Raw genomic sequence first — 15,556 nt, 5'->3', positions numbered from 1 at the left:
TATGTGTATATACCTCAAACAGTACAATCTCCATGGTGATGAGTTCTGTAAATATACTCCTATTTGAAAAAATTAATTTTCCTTAAATTTGGTAAAAAATTACTTCCTTTAAACTAGAAGTAATGATTCCTAATTCTAGTGTTTACAGACTTAGTGAAAAAGCCCTTATTTATCCTATCTACATATTATTTTTTCCTTTCCTCCCTAAAACAAATTGTCTTAACATTGGAACATTTACTAAGCTTTTAATTACACTAAAATGGTATTTCGAGCTTTCCCCAAACTCAGTAACATACAACCATGATTCCTCTCGCAGAGGAGATTCTGAAGCAGCACACGTGTTACATGTGACTGCAGCTGTCCCCAAAGCTGGTTTCACCCAGACAGTTCACACTATCCTGAGGCAGATCACAGGCACAACTCATTACCTGGGTTCTTTCATGTTGAAGAGTAAAACTCTGGGATTAATAATTTTCAAGGTTTAAAAGAGTAAGACCTATTTTTGAGGCATAAGATTTTTCTGGCAAGGAGATGTGCACATAGCTCCACCTACTGGCTACCGGGGAATGCGGGAGAATTTTTTTGGTAGTTATTTGTGTAGAGGACACTGAATCCTAGACCACCAACTTCATTTTAAAGATGAGGTAACTGACTCTCAGAGAAGGTAAGTGAATTCTGCATGAGGCCAAACACCTAGGCAATGGTGAACTGGAATTGATAAGACCTTCTGGGCTCTTAATCTGAGATGGCAAAGTCTTACAAATGTATTTCAAGATCTTACTCAGCATAAACATTTTGGGAGTATCTTTTTCATCTTCAAATACCTTTTCCAAGGGAACAGCATATCTTTTTTTCCACAGTATGTTTAATTTGAAAACATTTATTTTAAAATTCAGTAAATTTAATATATGAGGATTGAAAACAAATACTTTTGAAACTTTCCCTTGGAAAAGGGGTTAACTGCGAAGGCGAGCTATCTTTCAGTAATGAAAAGGTCTTTCTCCATTCCAAATAACTGGGAAATCTGCAGCCAAATGGCATCTGACCTAAGGCTCATTCTATGGGAGATGGATCACAGAAAAGAATGAACAGGAACTTCCCAGGGCGTTTACAAAGATGCTTGTTGAATGGATGATCGGAGGATGGTAAAAATCAGCGACATTCTATTGCTCCTTGGCATTTACAAACCTTTCTGACTTGTTGAGGCTGACTGAGCACATGCTGCGGGAACGTGTCTTGTGTCTGAGGTACAGTTGGGGCCAAGCCTGAGGCCAAGGCAGCAGTTGGTATTTGTGCAGCAGTTGCTATCTGAGGCTGAGTCTGCATTCCTGCTTGTGGTGAAGTCTAGGAGGTGAATTGAAAAAAACATCAATTTAATTGTCAGAATCAAAGTTAGAAATCAGAACTTAGGTGTAGAATCACTGGTCACTTGGGGATTGTATCTAAATGAAATAAGACCAAGGTTACAGATACACACTTCATCTGCACAGAAATCTGAACTTTAATGATTCTAAACCAGAGAGGGAAACATCAGACCAGTCACTGCATGCTCTTATTATTCCTAAGTAGCTAAGATTTTTCATTTGAAAATTTTGAGAAAATGGAAATGGAAATAATAAGAACCTAAGGCAGTTCTACACATAATAGCTCAGGTACTGTAATACTTGAATAACAGCAAGGCAACTCGTGAGACCTAACTGTCCCAATTGCTGCTTGCAAGCGGTGTGTGCATTCCCTAGGGAGAGCCAGCAATGGGGCCAGGGCGCCCTCAGACCCAAGGATAAAAACACGGTTCTCGTTTCTACTACAGCAATGGAAGATTTGGACCAAAAAATTTAAGGATTTATTATGGAATAGACTTTCAATTTCACAGATACCCTAAAGATAAAACAGAGGAATCAGAATTTTTGCATCTGCCAAAGGGTCTGTGGGCCCTGCCTCCTAACCACAGGGGTACGAGATGATTCCTCTCGCCTGTTTCAGGTATTTGGGTGTCGAGGCTGAGGAGCACTGCTTCAAATGGTTTCTTGTTCACTCGTGCTCCATGTTTGGTGAAAACTTACCAAAACTGCATGACACGGTAAATACATAGGTTATGTACGCACAAAAGGGAATTTCATGCTCATCAGTGTTTTCTCATCTCTTTCAATTACATCCTCACTCCTAAATTTGTGGTCATGTTTTCCTTAGTTTAGACATCTTCATATAAGCAGTGACTTTCAAGAACTAAATGTGGGAGGCAGAATATAAGAATGGGCATAAGAATAAAGGCTCTGCGGGCAGAACACCTGGGTTTAAATGCCAGCTCCATCCTTGGGGGAACTCCCTGAGTACTCCTAGGCCTCAGCGTCCTTATCCAGAGATGGGTGGTATCACTTAGATCTTCTAGGAGAAGGGAGGATTAAGTGAAGCCGGCCATTTAAAGTACTAGATGCTGTGCCTTGCCAGAAAGTGCTCAGCGGCAGACTATGATCACAATGATCACGTCACTGGTGTGTAAAAAAATGTCTGCATGGATGATACTGTGTTCATTCAAGGGAAAAGGTAACAGGACTAGAAAAGCATCCTGTGTTTTTTTCACTATATAAAAACAGTGCTAGATATTCAGATTTCTGAATAACCCTCTCACACATGCATACGTTTTCTCCGTGGGGTCTGCTCTGGACGCATTTATGGAAGAGCTCAGGTATGGTGCCTTCCTTAGCAGGGTTTGCATTCCATGCATGCTGTAAGGCAAAGTAGTTAGAAGACACACTTCACACCTGGAGTTTGAGGCTGCCTACAGGGAGTTGCACTGAGGTGACACTCGAGCCCTGGATGGACACTGGGAGCAGCAGCTGAGCAGTCTGCGTGGTCAGTAAAGCCTGGGGCTGAGCAACAACAGCAGGCGGTGGCTGTCCCTGGGAACTCACATAAAACTGCGAGACGACACTCTGCTGCTCTGCCTGGCCCACAGGGACCTCTTGCTTGATAACTACAGCCTTTTTGGCAACAAGGGTCTGGCCACCTGTAGAGACGGGCTGGCCTACAGCGTGGCTGGCTACTGGGATGGGCTGCCTGGAGCTGGAGCAGTCAGGGAGTGAGGCCTCATCTTTGATGGAGGAGCCAAGGCTGCCGTGCTTCTGATCTGACTTGACAGAATGACCTGGGGCACTGGGCTGGGCTTCCAGGGGCCGCTGCTGCTGCCCTCGTTTTTCAACCTCAAGTTGCATTTTCAGCACTTCCACGAGCTTCTGCTCTTGTTCCAGTTTCCTCTTCAGCTCTTCGATTTGCTTCTCTTTCTCCTGAAGCTTGCGATCCTTTTCGGCTGCATCCAGTTCCAGGTTTGACAGAGTGCTGCTGGTGGGACTCAGACTGTCTTCATTATTTGTCATTCTCAAAGGAGATGAACTCAAGAACTGTGAAGGCGACATCATGGTCATAATCTCGGTGAAAGTGTCTGCCATGTTTGTGTCATCAGTACTGAGACTGGACTGTTCGGAGGGAGATGGTGAAATGGGCAGAGGGGAATGAACATTTTCCACACGGGTTGCGTTGCTGGTTCCTGTAGGTGGCAATTCTGCCTTGAGAGTAGAGACTGAGCTAGTCACAGTGTTGTGTAGTGTTGTAACCGGCAAGGCCACAGTGACTTCTGGGTTACTGGTGACAATGGCTGATGATGACACTGCCACGATGCCCCCAGCAGCAAGGCCGCTGCTGTTCACTTCCTGGTAGGGTTTTAGGCGCTCAATGAGGTCCGGTTTGGTGCCTGACACTGGCAGACCCCTTAACTTCAGTTCTGTCTTCAGTTCTGATACCTGGAGGTACAAACAAAGCAGATATCTTAGTATTAGAGCTTTCTGGCAAATCTACAGTACGCTTTTGTGATGGGAAAGGTGCCTATGTCTGTCAGACAACTCTGCGTTACGGCACACCTGAAAGTAGAACTGGTTTTATATTTAAGCACACAGAAACAGATAACTACAGACTAGAAGCACTTGAGGAGCCAGTGATACGGTAAGGGTTTTTAGAGGGTAATTCCGCTTTTACGTCAAAGCAGAGAGATACTACCAGGAATTATGATGATGATACAGCTGCATTTATTGAGTAGTTGCCTTGTGCAAGACACTTTTGGAAATGCTCTACTCTTTCCACTCATCTTCACACGACCCCATGAGGTGTCCGTATCATTATTCTTCCCATTTTACAGATCGGGAGGCAAAGAAGAGAGAGGCTGAAGCACTCACTGAAGGTACCACAGATAATAGAAGGCTGAGCTGTGGTAGAAACCTAAAAAGGCTGGCCCTAGAGCTCATATTCTTAACTGTTACATTTTCCTGCTTTTCCCAAACTTGGCATTGAGCAGGGAAGAAAAAAATCACAGCCTCTGGAATCCAGCAGAACTGGTAGGTGCCTGCACAAGGTACACACTCAGTAAATGACAGTTATTGGTTGTTTTACAAGAAAACTTAGTGGAAGTAAAAAGAAAATACCTTTTATAAAGATTATCATATTGTTGGTAAAGTTGAATGTCTACTGAAAACTACTTAATGTCTGCTAGACAACGCTGGCAAATCATTTACATGTTTGTGGTACTTAGGGGTGAATAAGCTCCAGTTGCAATTGTCACCTTTAAGTCATCCAGGCTAGAAGGCAGAGGTCCTGGCTTTCTCACAGGAGTAGATGTATTCTGTCTTGGTGTGTTAGGTGTGGCATTGTTCAAAGCTGAATTCCCACTGTTACTATTTTTGTCATTGAGTGGCCTTCAAAAGAAAACAAAAATTAGAGTTTATAATAAAATAATTTCTAGATTTGACATTGCTTCTATTAACAATTTGACTAACTTATGAAGAGAAAAATACCATGGTTATGGATTGGAAGGCTGAATATTGTAAAGATGCCAATTACATTAGATCTCAATGAAATCCCTGCAGGTTTTGTTTGTTTGCTAGCGTGACGGAAATTTAGAAGGCGATTCTAAGCTTTATATGGAAATGCAAAGGACCAAGAATGGCCATGAATCCTTGAAGAAAAGCAAAGCTGGAAGAGTCACACCACCAGACATCAACACGTAATTAATGTGTGATGTTGCTGATACAGGGACAGAACAACAGGCAAATGAGAGAGCCCCAGCAAATCCAGAAACGGCCCTCTGCATACCCGGACCCTTGAGTTACCAAAAAGAGGACACTGTGATGTAGTGGAGAGAGGGCGGGACTTCAATGGTGCCATGCTACGTTGGAAATTCACACAGAAAAAAACATGGCTCTTGACTGGCCCCATCTCACCTTGTTCCCAAAATCTACATGTGAATTATGAAAATAAAGCTTTCAGAAAAACACTCAGGATAGTATCTTCATGGCCTTTGGGTAGACAAAGATTTCTTAAACAGCACATAAAAAGCACTAAGTAAAAGGGACATCTTTAAGACAGTGAAAAGTCAAGCCACAGTGCAGGACAACATATCTGTAATACATATTTCTGACAAAGACCTCATATCTAGAGTATATAAAAAGGTCTTTAAAATCAGTAAGAAAGAGACAGAAAACCCAGTGGAAAAGTGGGGGGAAAAATCTCAGATGTATCACAAGAATGTATATCCCAATGGTCAATAAATAAGTGAAAGATGATTCAACCTCATTAGGTATGTGGAAATTGCAAATCACAACAGAATAGCCCTGCATTTTCAGTGGAATTGATATAATGAGTAAGACTGATACCAAGTACCTGGGACAACCAGAACAATCACACACTGCTGGCAGAGCTGTGAATGATGCAACTACTTTGCAAAACTGTACTAAAGAAAAACATCTTTTCTTTGAAACTTTTCTTTCGTAGTACTAAAGGAAAACATCTGCCTATCCTATGATCCCACAATTCCATTCCTAGATAAGACATCTAACAGAAAGACACATGTATGTATGCCAAAAGACACAGACTATTTACTGTGGGGTTATTCCTAATAGCCCCAACTGGAAGCAACCCAACTACGCATCAAGAGTAAGCTGGATGGCTAAATTATGTTATAGTCAGTCACGAAATATTAAACAACAACAACAAAAATGAACTGCTATCAGCACCAACAAAGATGCACGTAGGTGTACTGTAAGATTGCGTGTATATGAAGTTCAAAAACAGGCAAAACTGCACTTTGGGAGGCTGAAGCGGGCAGATCATGAGGTCAGGAGATCGAGACCATCCTGGCTAACACGGTGAAACCCCGTCTCTACTTAAAAATACAAAAAATTAGCCAGGCGTGGTGGCGGGCGCCTGTAGCCCCAGCTACTCGGGAGGCTGAGGCAGGAGAATGGCGTGAACCCTGGAGGTGGTGTGAACCCGAGAGGCAGAGCTTGCAGTGAGCCGAGATTGCACCACTGCACTCCAGCCTGGGCGACAGAGTGAGACTCTGTCTCAAAAAAAAAAAAACCCAAAACAGGCAAAACTAATCTCTGGGGATAGAAGTCAGGATGATCATGGAAAAGGGAGACAAAGGGGGCTTTTGGGGTACTGAAAATGTTCTTGGTTTGGGTATTGGATACAGGAGTGTATTTATTTTTGCATCAATTTTCACTTATAATTTACGTACTTTTCTGTGTGTAAGTTATACTTCAATTTAAAAAGCTTACTTAAAAGAAGTTGGTGCATCACTTGTCAAATTCTACTACAGTTAGGTGCTTTGTACTAATTTCCCTAAACTTTCAGTATTAAAACGAGATCCCCACCTAACATCTTCCAACTGTGATACTCTTGGTAACAGTGGTGTTTCCTTTCTGGATGGTTGCTACCGTACAGCCGATTCCATTGCAGCTTCAGGCTTTATTATCACACAAAGCCTTGGTGCTGAAGCCAAGAGACTTGGAATTCCACATTCTGAAACAGGGATTTGAGGTGACAGTGCCTACGGGGTGACAGCCATAGTTGGGTGAGCTTTCTCTGAAGAGTTCTGGGAAGCCTGTGGTTGAAGCCAATGCTGGCTTTGTCACTAGCTAACTCTTGACATTCATTTTGGGGTCTTCTAAAACCTGGCTGAATTTTGTTGAAGTTAAATAATTGAAATCTTTGGGATGAAGTTTCTTATCATTGGATGAAGTGGCAAATATTTTATGCATCATTATTATCCTTTATAAAAATTCAACTGTAAAATCTCAGAGTTATGAAAACATTTTCTTTAAATCAGTGTTTCTCCACCTTATTTTCATTCATTATTGTCCCCCGAAAGAGCCTTTTAGACATTTTTCTCCACATCTCTCTCCCCATGAAGTTTCAACACCACAGAGATAAAGCATGTGTTTATGGACCGCAGGTAAGTCTGTGCTTTATTACGTAAGAGTAGTCTCCCTGCTGAGCCACCTTTTGCTTCCTTGTGAGTGGTATTACCCCCTTGAAAATGAATGTAATTATTCTACTCAGGATGTTTTTTTTTTCCTGTTGAGATTCTATAATACTCTACCTATTAAAATGAACAGTTTGGTATTTTACTCAATCTTTAAAATAACAGAAACATGTTAATCTATTTTTCTCCCAAATCAATAGAGGGGAGAAAAAAGAGAGAGGTTGCTAACGAATGTGATCGGCAGATGAGAGACCTGCGTTCAGAGGGATGCAGTGGCCTTCGGGGACCTCCAGTGACCTCCCATTGTGCAGACAAGCTGGGCTGGACTAAAGCCTAGTCCCTTTGGGCGCTTGCTCCTTTGTGGTGGCAAAGGGCTACATGATTCAGGTAAACTCCCACCACTATGGGCACTCTATGACTTCCACATTCAGTTTCTTGTAATGGAATTTTGATAAATATAAACAATGCGTTAGGAAACAAGGCCTCCATTTTTAGGATCTGGAAATTGAACAGGACTTATATTCTTTTTGTGGTTAAATAATACACAAAAATAAGTGTTCTTTCTCCTTCTAATATCCTGGGTCTTTTTGTATGATACTATTCTTGGGTGAGCTTGGTTATTGTAGAGGTGCTGAATGTCTGAGGAGGAGAGGGGAATTGAAGCCTTAATGGAAAGACAAAGAACTGGTAACAGTTCAGCAAGCCCACACCTCTGATGGATTCTTCCTATCTACAAAGCCAGTCGCACAGCCAAATTCTTTCATTACAGAAAAGACTGTTTCAAAGATAAGGTGAAAATCCCAAAGGATTTTTTTTTATAACAGCGTCCTCATCTGGGAATGGGGTCAATAACAGCAATTCCTCCTAGACTTGAGGCGAGGATGAGGATGATGCACGGTTTTAAGCACAACGCATTGTAAGTAGTAACTGTGAGACATCATTACCATTATTATTATTATTATTATTATTATTATTATTATTATTATTATTATTGGTGCCCAATGCCAAAGGAGGATGGCAGTGGAGGAGGCCTCCCTAAGGCCTGGACAAAGCTGCAAAGTAGCAGCAGCTTGTCTGTGATTCTCTTCCAATTCTCTTTGGTATCCCCTGATTCCCTTCCAATGTCAATAGCTCACTCGGGCCTGCCTGCTCTTAAAATAGTAACTGGATACAAAGTTCTTTCTCTCTTCATCTCCATGCCCTGATGTTTTAGATTTAAGTACTTCACAATCAGGTCTGAATTACTAATAGGTTTAATCTTCCTCAAGATATTTGAATCTTAAGAGGGAAAAGAGGGGCTACCTATGAGGGAATGCTTACGCGACATGTAGAAAGCAGAAGTTTCTACAGGTCGTATAATCATAAGTTGAATAACCTGATCATGGCTAATAATTTTTCATTATAATGAGCTTTTGCATCTCTTTCTAGAGTTAAATGCAAATATTTCTTTTTCATGAAAAGTGAGGAAAATGAAGACAAGATCTTTGCATTTTTATCTCTGTTTCCCAGAAAAAGCATATTGGGAATGTATATCCAGAAATTTTCTTTATTACGTAATTAAAATTAGCCATTGATGTCTTGCTGTGAATTCAGTTTCAGAAATTGTCAGAATTCACTCCCTTCCGTCCCCCACAGTTGGGTTCAAACTTTGAAAACACCTTCCTTCTCCGCAGTTGTTCGTCACCAAGGCCTTTAACTGTCTTCTGAAACACTCACTCTGCTGCCAGAGCTCTTCATTGTCTCCAGACGTCCCTTCAACACCAGCATCCAGCTGTTTTTTCTTATATTTTGGCCTCACTGCGTCAGCAGCCTGCTCTGAAGCACTCCGTTGTCTATCTGCTGTGTTGAGTAAGGTCTTCTGCCCAGCTTCAAGTCCCCTTAGACATTGGCTGTACTCGATTTTTGTCTTCCACTTTTTACTTAAAAATTAATCAGATTCTTTGTTTAGGCAATTTTTCTCACCTTCCAATGAAGAGGCACTACTTACTCTATTCCTTCCTCTGTACTAGTGCTCACAGCATTCCCCTGTGCCTGGAAAGGCCCTTCTCGAGCCTTCTATATACAAAGATCCTGTCTTTTCCACCAGGCTTTCCTTTGACCACTCCAGCTTTCATGCCCATCCTTCTCTTCTTTTAGCTGTTTATGCCAGGTATTATACTACTTACGCTTTTCTCAGAGCATCTAGTACTATTTTGGTGTTCTAATAATAGGCAAATCTGGATGAATAATTGTGAAAAGGCATTTCTAACTTGTAAAAATTCAGAACCTATTTTGGAGGACAGAAACTGGAATGGAATGCAGGCCACTCTCACCATGTGGACTTCAGACACTGTGTGATAAGCTCTGATAACAAAGAAATGAAAATCATTACTGAGCACAAATAAATGACAACATTCAACTTTTGGTAACTTATAGTTCCTCATAAAAAACCACAGAAAACCCCGCGTTGAGGATAGCATGGGCCCCGCCGTACTTGAATGGTGCAGGCAGGATGGTCTGGTAGTTGTAGTGCTGCTTCTGCTGACTCAGGATCTGCAGTTGCAGGAACAGCTGCTGCTGCTGGAGCAGGCGGGCGTAGTTAGAGTCCATCTGCGGCTCATTCTTCTCACCCTTCTGATCTGGTGGAATGTATTGGTGGTACTTTAACTTCTTTACCCGTGGTTTGGGATCTTTGCACTTTTTGCTACGGTGTTTGTCATTTGGATTCTTGGGATGGCTTTGCTATTTTTGAGAAAAAGAAAATAACATTTAAAGAGATGTCACCACATAAAATCTTTTGTACTGCGTGACTAAATGATTTGAAATTAAAAAGAAATGTACCTTAGATACGGGTACAGCCACTTTGGAAAGCAATATGCTAAATTCGTTTCAAAAGCCATGAAAACGTTTGCATATTAACTTTGACCAATAAATTTTCTCCTGCTGCACTGTTCCCTCAGGGTATGGGCAAGATGCTCAGCATGAGCTGTTCAAACTCAATGCACGCTGACCTTGGGTCTCCCGTGTGAACACACTACCAAGTGCTTACACATACAATCTCCTAGTAAAAAACAAGCTGCATGCTAAATATACAATGGGAAAAGGTTAAGTATACTTCACCAAAACCATGTAATACCTAAAAATTCTGTGGAGAATATGTAAAAATGAAAAAATGCTTCCAATGAGAAGAAAACAATATAAACTATCTTTAAGCAATATAATACAAAAACAAATACTGAATGATATGAACATGAATTTGAAAATTTTTCAAATACTACATTTTTCCTTTGAAACTGGGATGTGAGACCATGTATCCCTCATCTCAAGATTAGGAATCAGATGATGTTTTCCTGAGGTCTTGTTGTCTTCTCAGTTTTTAAGTTATCAGATCACTTTATACTTTTCAGTATTCAGATTCTAAGATAGCGTCATCTGAAAAAAACCCATCCAAACAAACAAAAAAGAAAATATACGAAAGTATTGCTAAGCTTCTGTAGGGAACATACCCAACTTAATACAAAGACTTTGAGAAGTACTCAATTAAATGGAGCTATTGATATGATCACATTATCTATATTCATATCCAAAGAATTAGGACACTGCAACCAAAGAAGAATAAAACAAAACTCACTGCATTCTGCAGGTTAGGAATAGTCTCATTTCTAATGTTAGGCTATTCTAACATTCATAGAATGTGACTATTAACATTCTTGTTTATATCCTTCCTTTGGATATGTTTTAATATAATTGGGATGATACCATATATGCTTATTAGAAATGTGCCTTTCTCTCTTCATCTGACATGTCATGAATTCTTAAATCCCTGGTATAAAAGAATGATTCTGCAACAAGATTTTTATGGCCATTTTTACATAACAGTTTACGGACATAGCCAGCGGGGTGCTGGAGCCAGCTCTTACTCATGAGAACCAAACGTGTGCTGTTTCTCCCAATTGTGCATTCAGCAATATCACACCGGTAGCCTGAAACTGGCCACTGTGGGAATATTTACACCATGGGAATTGGCAAAGGCTATAATCTGCCCTCTGAGCCCAGCCAGTTATTAAACATTTACCGGCATACTACTGGACATAATATAATCCAATTAACTAGGAGCCTATTTTTAAACACTGGTAAATAAGAATTTATAAAAAGTAATTATGTATTGGAAATGATTGGTTGTTAATCTCATCTCATGCTTTCAGACTTGAGCATCAGGACCTGGCCTCCTAGTTCTTTACTGACTTCTACGACACATATGACAATCCCAATGCTCTTTACTTTCTTCAACATAACTTTAGTGACTGTTCTTGATGATTTTAATATCCACATGTACAATCCTTCTAACATTCTGGTCTCTTAGTTCCTCGACTTCATTGCTTCCAGGTATCTCATCTCCTCTCTCAGCCAGTCACTGTGTGATGATAGCCTAGATCTTGTAATTATTTGAACCTCCCTCGCTTCCCAGCATCCCAATCTCTGATACCCACCACGTATTTTGTCAATTCACTCCATCCAGGATGCCAACTACAACAATTATTTGATGCCACTGAGACCTACAATCCTTTTCTGTTACAACCTTTACATGTTCCTCACTTCCCTCCTTACCAAGCTATATCCCACGGTCCCCTCACTTGCACAGTCCCCCCCTTTGTCATAGACACCTGGCAAAACCTTTACCTAATTCTGTCTCCTTCTGCCTCTCGACAGTGTCTCTACTGATGTTTTGAGCTAAGTAATTGTGTTGTGGGAGCCCATCCCGTGCACTGTTGGATGTTCAGTGGCATCCTTGGCCACTACACATTAGATACCCCTAGCAACCTCCACCCACCCACCTCGTCCCCCGCATTGTGACAACCAGAAACGTCTCCAGACATTGCCAAATGTCTGTGGTGGGAGGCAAACTTACCCCTGCTGAGAACCAGTGGTCCACTTCATGCCTGTACTCATATAACTGAAAGTGGCTACAGGAAAAACATAAAACCATGCTGACAAGTCTCACTTTAAACTTGTGACCACCAACTTCAAGGGCTCATCAGTGCTACGTGGCCATCCTGTTACATTTTTCTGGTCCTTTAATTTTCCTACTCTTACAGAATACTGTCTATCTTTTCTTCTCTCTCCAAACCTATAGTATTTCACCCCCATCCTCACTGTCAACTGATGACCTCACTGCCTAAACATTGAGAACGTATAAGTGATCAGCACAGAGCTGAGTGCCTGCCTGCACCGAGACTCTGCGTTTTCCTTCCTGCTGGTGTTGCTGTCTCAGGCTGGCCCTTCCCTACTCAACTGGTTTCTGTACTCCCTTGCCCACACCTGGCTGTGGTTCCCCACTCTTCTCCTGGATCACTCCCACTGGATCACAAACAGCCTTCCTTGACCCTACAGTCTAATCAAGCTACAGACTCATTTCTGTGGGCTCTCAAGAAAAGCTTTCTATAATACCATCTCCAGCTCTGCCTTTCAGGCTCTCTTGTGCCCACTCCAACTAAGCTTTCAGAAACTGTTCTTGTCAAGGTCACTGTGCTTCAACGTTAAACCGAGGCCAGTTCCCAGCACTCATCTTAACTGAGGCACAGCAGCCTTTGATACAGTTGCCCTCTCCCTTCTTCTTGAAACATCGTGTCTGGCTTCAGGGCTGCCTTGCCTCACTCTTGCTAGCTGTTTTTGCTGAGTCTCCTTTGCTGGTTCTCCTCTCTAAAATGTTGGAGGTTCCCAAGAACTCACTTCTTGCACAGCTTTTTCACCTGTACTTAGACCCTAGGTAATTTAACCGGGTTTCATGGCTTTAAATGCCATTTATACACCGATGACCCACATTTCTATTCCCAACCTAGACCTCTCTCCTAAGGTCTGCACTCATCTATCCAGCTGCCTCTAGGACATCACGCGGTGCCTGCACAGCACCTCACACTCCAGGTGTACTCCTTTCCATTACAGGACGTGGCAACTGCAAGTTGCTAGTCACTTAGACACACAACAGTAGATGGTTCACAACTCCTCTTCTTCACACCACATATCCAACTTGTCCACAAATCCTGGCAGCTTAGCCTTCAAATGCAGCCAGAATCCAACCACTTCTGTTATCTCCCCAGCTGCCACTGTCTCCTGCTGTGCATTTTACCTGTCTCTGCTTCTACCTTTGCGCCCTACTGTTTCTAACATATCAGCTCAAAAATGTTACAGCAGCTCCTTCCCTTAGCAGTAATACAAAGCCTAACTTCTTACAAGGCTCTACAGACGCTGGTCTCTGGCCACACCCTGTCTGCCTCGGCCATTGCTGTTGGAGTGATACTGGCTGCCTTGGTCAAATTTTCTTCCCATAGATAGATATCTTCATGGCTCACACCCTCAATTCTTTCAGATCTCTGTCCAAATGTCATCTGCGTATCCCCAGACCACCTCATTTAAAAGACACGTCTCTCCTTATCTCCCCAGCACCCCCATCATCACATTATTCATCACCACCCGGCACACTCTCTATTTGGTTGTCTGTTTACCCTAAGGGTGGGGATTTGTGATCTTTTGTTCCTTGCTTTATCTATTCCTAGTACCCAGAACAGTGCCTGGCACATAGAAGGTGCTTGAATAAGTATCCGTTCAACAAATGAATCGTGAATGTGCATGCTAATTGGAAATCACTTTAATTATCAGGCACTTAAGGTATATACCTCGATGTCAGAAAACACTTTCCCCCACTTATTCCTTCAATCCCACAATATTAATCAATTAGCTATTTACCTTCTTATTTCGTTATCAATAATTCATTTTATTTATTTGCTTTTGAGGCAGGGTCTCACTCTGTCACCCAGGCTGGAGTAGGCTGGAGTGCAGGCACATGATCTCAGCTCACTGCAGCCTTAACCTCCTGGGCTCAAGTGATCCTCCCACCTCAGCCTCCGAGTAGCTGGGAGCATAGGTGTGTGCCACCATGCCCAACTAATTTTTTTGTACACTTTATAGAGATGGGGTTTTGCCATGTTGCCCAGGCTGGCTCAAACTCCTGAGCTCAAGCAATCTGCCTGCCTTGGCCTCCCAAAGTGCAGGGATTACAGGCGTGAGCCACTGCACCTGGCTATACATTTTATTTTTAGTCTTTTAAAACTGATCATAAGAATGAACGGGGTCTAGGATAATTTACACTCAAAATGCGGTTCGAGTATAATCGTTGTAGAGTGATAAAATAATTGTCCCAGCCACTGTCAGGAAGGCACCTGTAGAGGAGGGGCACAGAAACATAATAACTAGTGTTCCTCAGATGGAATCTGCTACTACCTATCAGCCCCCACAAGTGAAGGATGGGAAACAGCTTTCCTTATAGAAACACTGGAAGAATTCTGGTCTGTTTCCTAATGTGTTCCTGTCCCCTCCTCTCTTGGCATAGTCCTAGAATTATCTAACCAACCCCTGAATTTCACATTCTTAAACAATGCTTCTTCCTCTAGAACCAAAGCCTTCCTTAAAGACATCAGTGAAGAGCAGACATTCAGAGAGAGGGAGAGGCAGAGAACCCGTTTGAGGATCGGCAGGGAAGGAGGGCTGTGCACGCAGACCCTCTGTGCCGTCGGGGTTGCATGCGTGGGGATGTTGGGAGAGGAGGTATAAAACTGATTTCATGGGGATGGTTGCCACTTGCAACCCTCTGGAATTTCCGACTCCAATGCTAAGCAACAGAAGATGGGGAAACACACTGATGTATGTCCTGAAGCCACCAATACTCGGCCACGCTGACAAGGGCCTTCTCTCCAGAAAGGTCAAGGACAGGGACAGTCCCGGCGACTTAGGGCCGTGAGGAATATGCATTGTGTTCATCTGAAAGATGCTCCCTTGCCTCAGAAGAGTTCTGCAACAGGTTGGGGAGGCAGGAGAGAGCTAGACTTGGATTCGGGAGGTTGGGACCCTTCCTGGCTTTGTCATTTCTTCTTTGGGCCTCAGTCTCCCCATCTGAAGGGTGGTGAGAAGTTAGCTAACTGTAATATCCTTTTTTAGTTTTAAAAGTTTGAGATCTATATTCACCTAAACTATTCCTCACTTTATTCTCCTCACCCACCATATCTAGAAGTTCTAAACACAATTCTAAAAAGTTTAAATCTGTTTTTCTCTTGTTTCATCTTAGTGGCCTGGGTGGCAGAACCAGGGCTTTCTGCGTAGCCCCAGTAGTTGGTTTTGTTTTTTTTTAAAGAGACAGGGTCTTGCTCTGTCACCCAAGCTAGAGTGCAATGGTGTGATCACAGCTCACTGCAGCCTCAAACTCCAGGGCTC

General features: G+C 42.4%; 1 protein-coding gene across 33 annotated transcripts in view, besides 1 other annotated feature; it reads right to left on the bottom strand.

Annotated features, from left to right (window-relative positions):
• The window catches only part of MRTFB (myocardin related transcription factor B), a 272,006-nt gene that overhangs the window by 16,510 nt on the left and 239,940 nt on the right, over positions 1–15,556 (bottom strand). For 24 of the 33 annotated variants that reach the window (XM_047434393.1, XM_047434392.1, XM_017023501.3 and 21 more), the window contains 4 exons: positions 9,786–10,033; positions 4,610–4,742; positions 2,763–3,797; positions 1,189–1,344 (listed from right to left, as the gene is read on the bottom strand). In XM_047434393.1, coding sequence (XP_047290349.1) covers positions 1,189–1,344; positions 2,763–3,797; positions 4,610–4,742; positions 9,786–10,033 — 1,572 coding nt within the window. Of the gene's footprint in view, positions 1–1,188; positions 1,345–2,762; positions 3,798–4,609; positions 4,743–8,844; positions 10,034–15,556 lie in introns of those variants that run through there. The other 9 variants (XM_047434402.1, XM_006720914.3, NM_014048.4 and 6 more) reach the window with 2 other exon arrangements.
• Positions 3,912–5,111: an enhancer, noted in NCBI's record as "BRD4-independent group 4 enhancer chr16:14339016-14340215 (GRCh37/hg19 assembly coordinates)". NCBI's record gives its function as "activates an origin of replication core promoter dependent on BRD2, P300/CBP, MED14 and CDK7 cofactors, and independent of BRD4, by STARR-seq in HCT116 cells {active_cell/tissue: HCT116}" and the evidence as "EXISTENCE:reporter gene assay evidence [ECO:0000049][PMID:35650434]".

The sequence above is a fragment of the Homo sapiens genome, chromosome 16 (assembly GCF_000001405.40).
Source record: "Homo sapiens chromosome 16, GRCh38.p14 Primary Assembly".
Classification (NCBI taxonomy): Eukaryota; Metazoa; Chordata; class Mammalia; order Primates; family Hominidae; genus Homo; species Homo sapiens.
The sequence above is the reverse complement of the archived record's forward strand: the minus strand, read 5'-3'. Positions and strand labels throughout refer to the sequence as shown.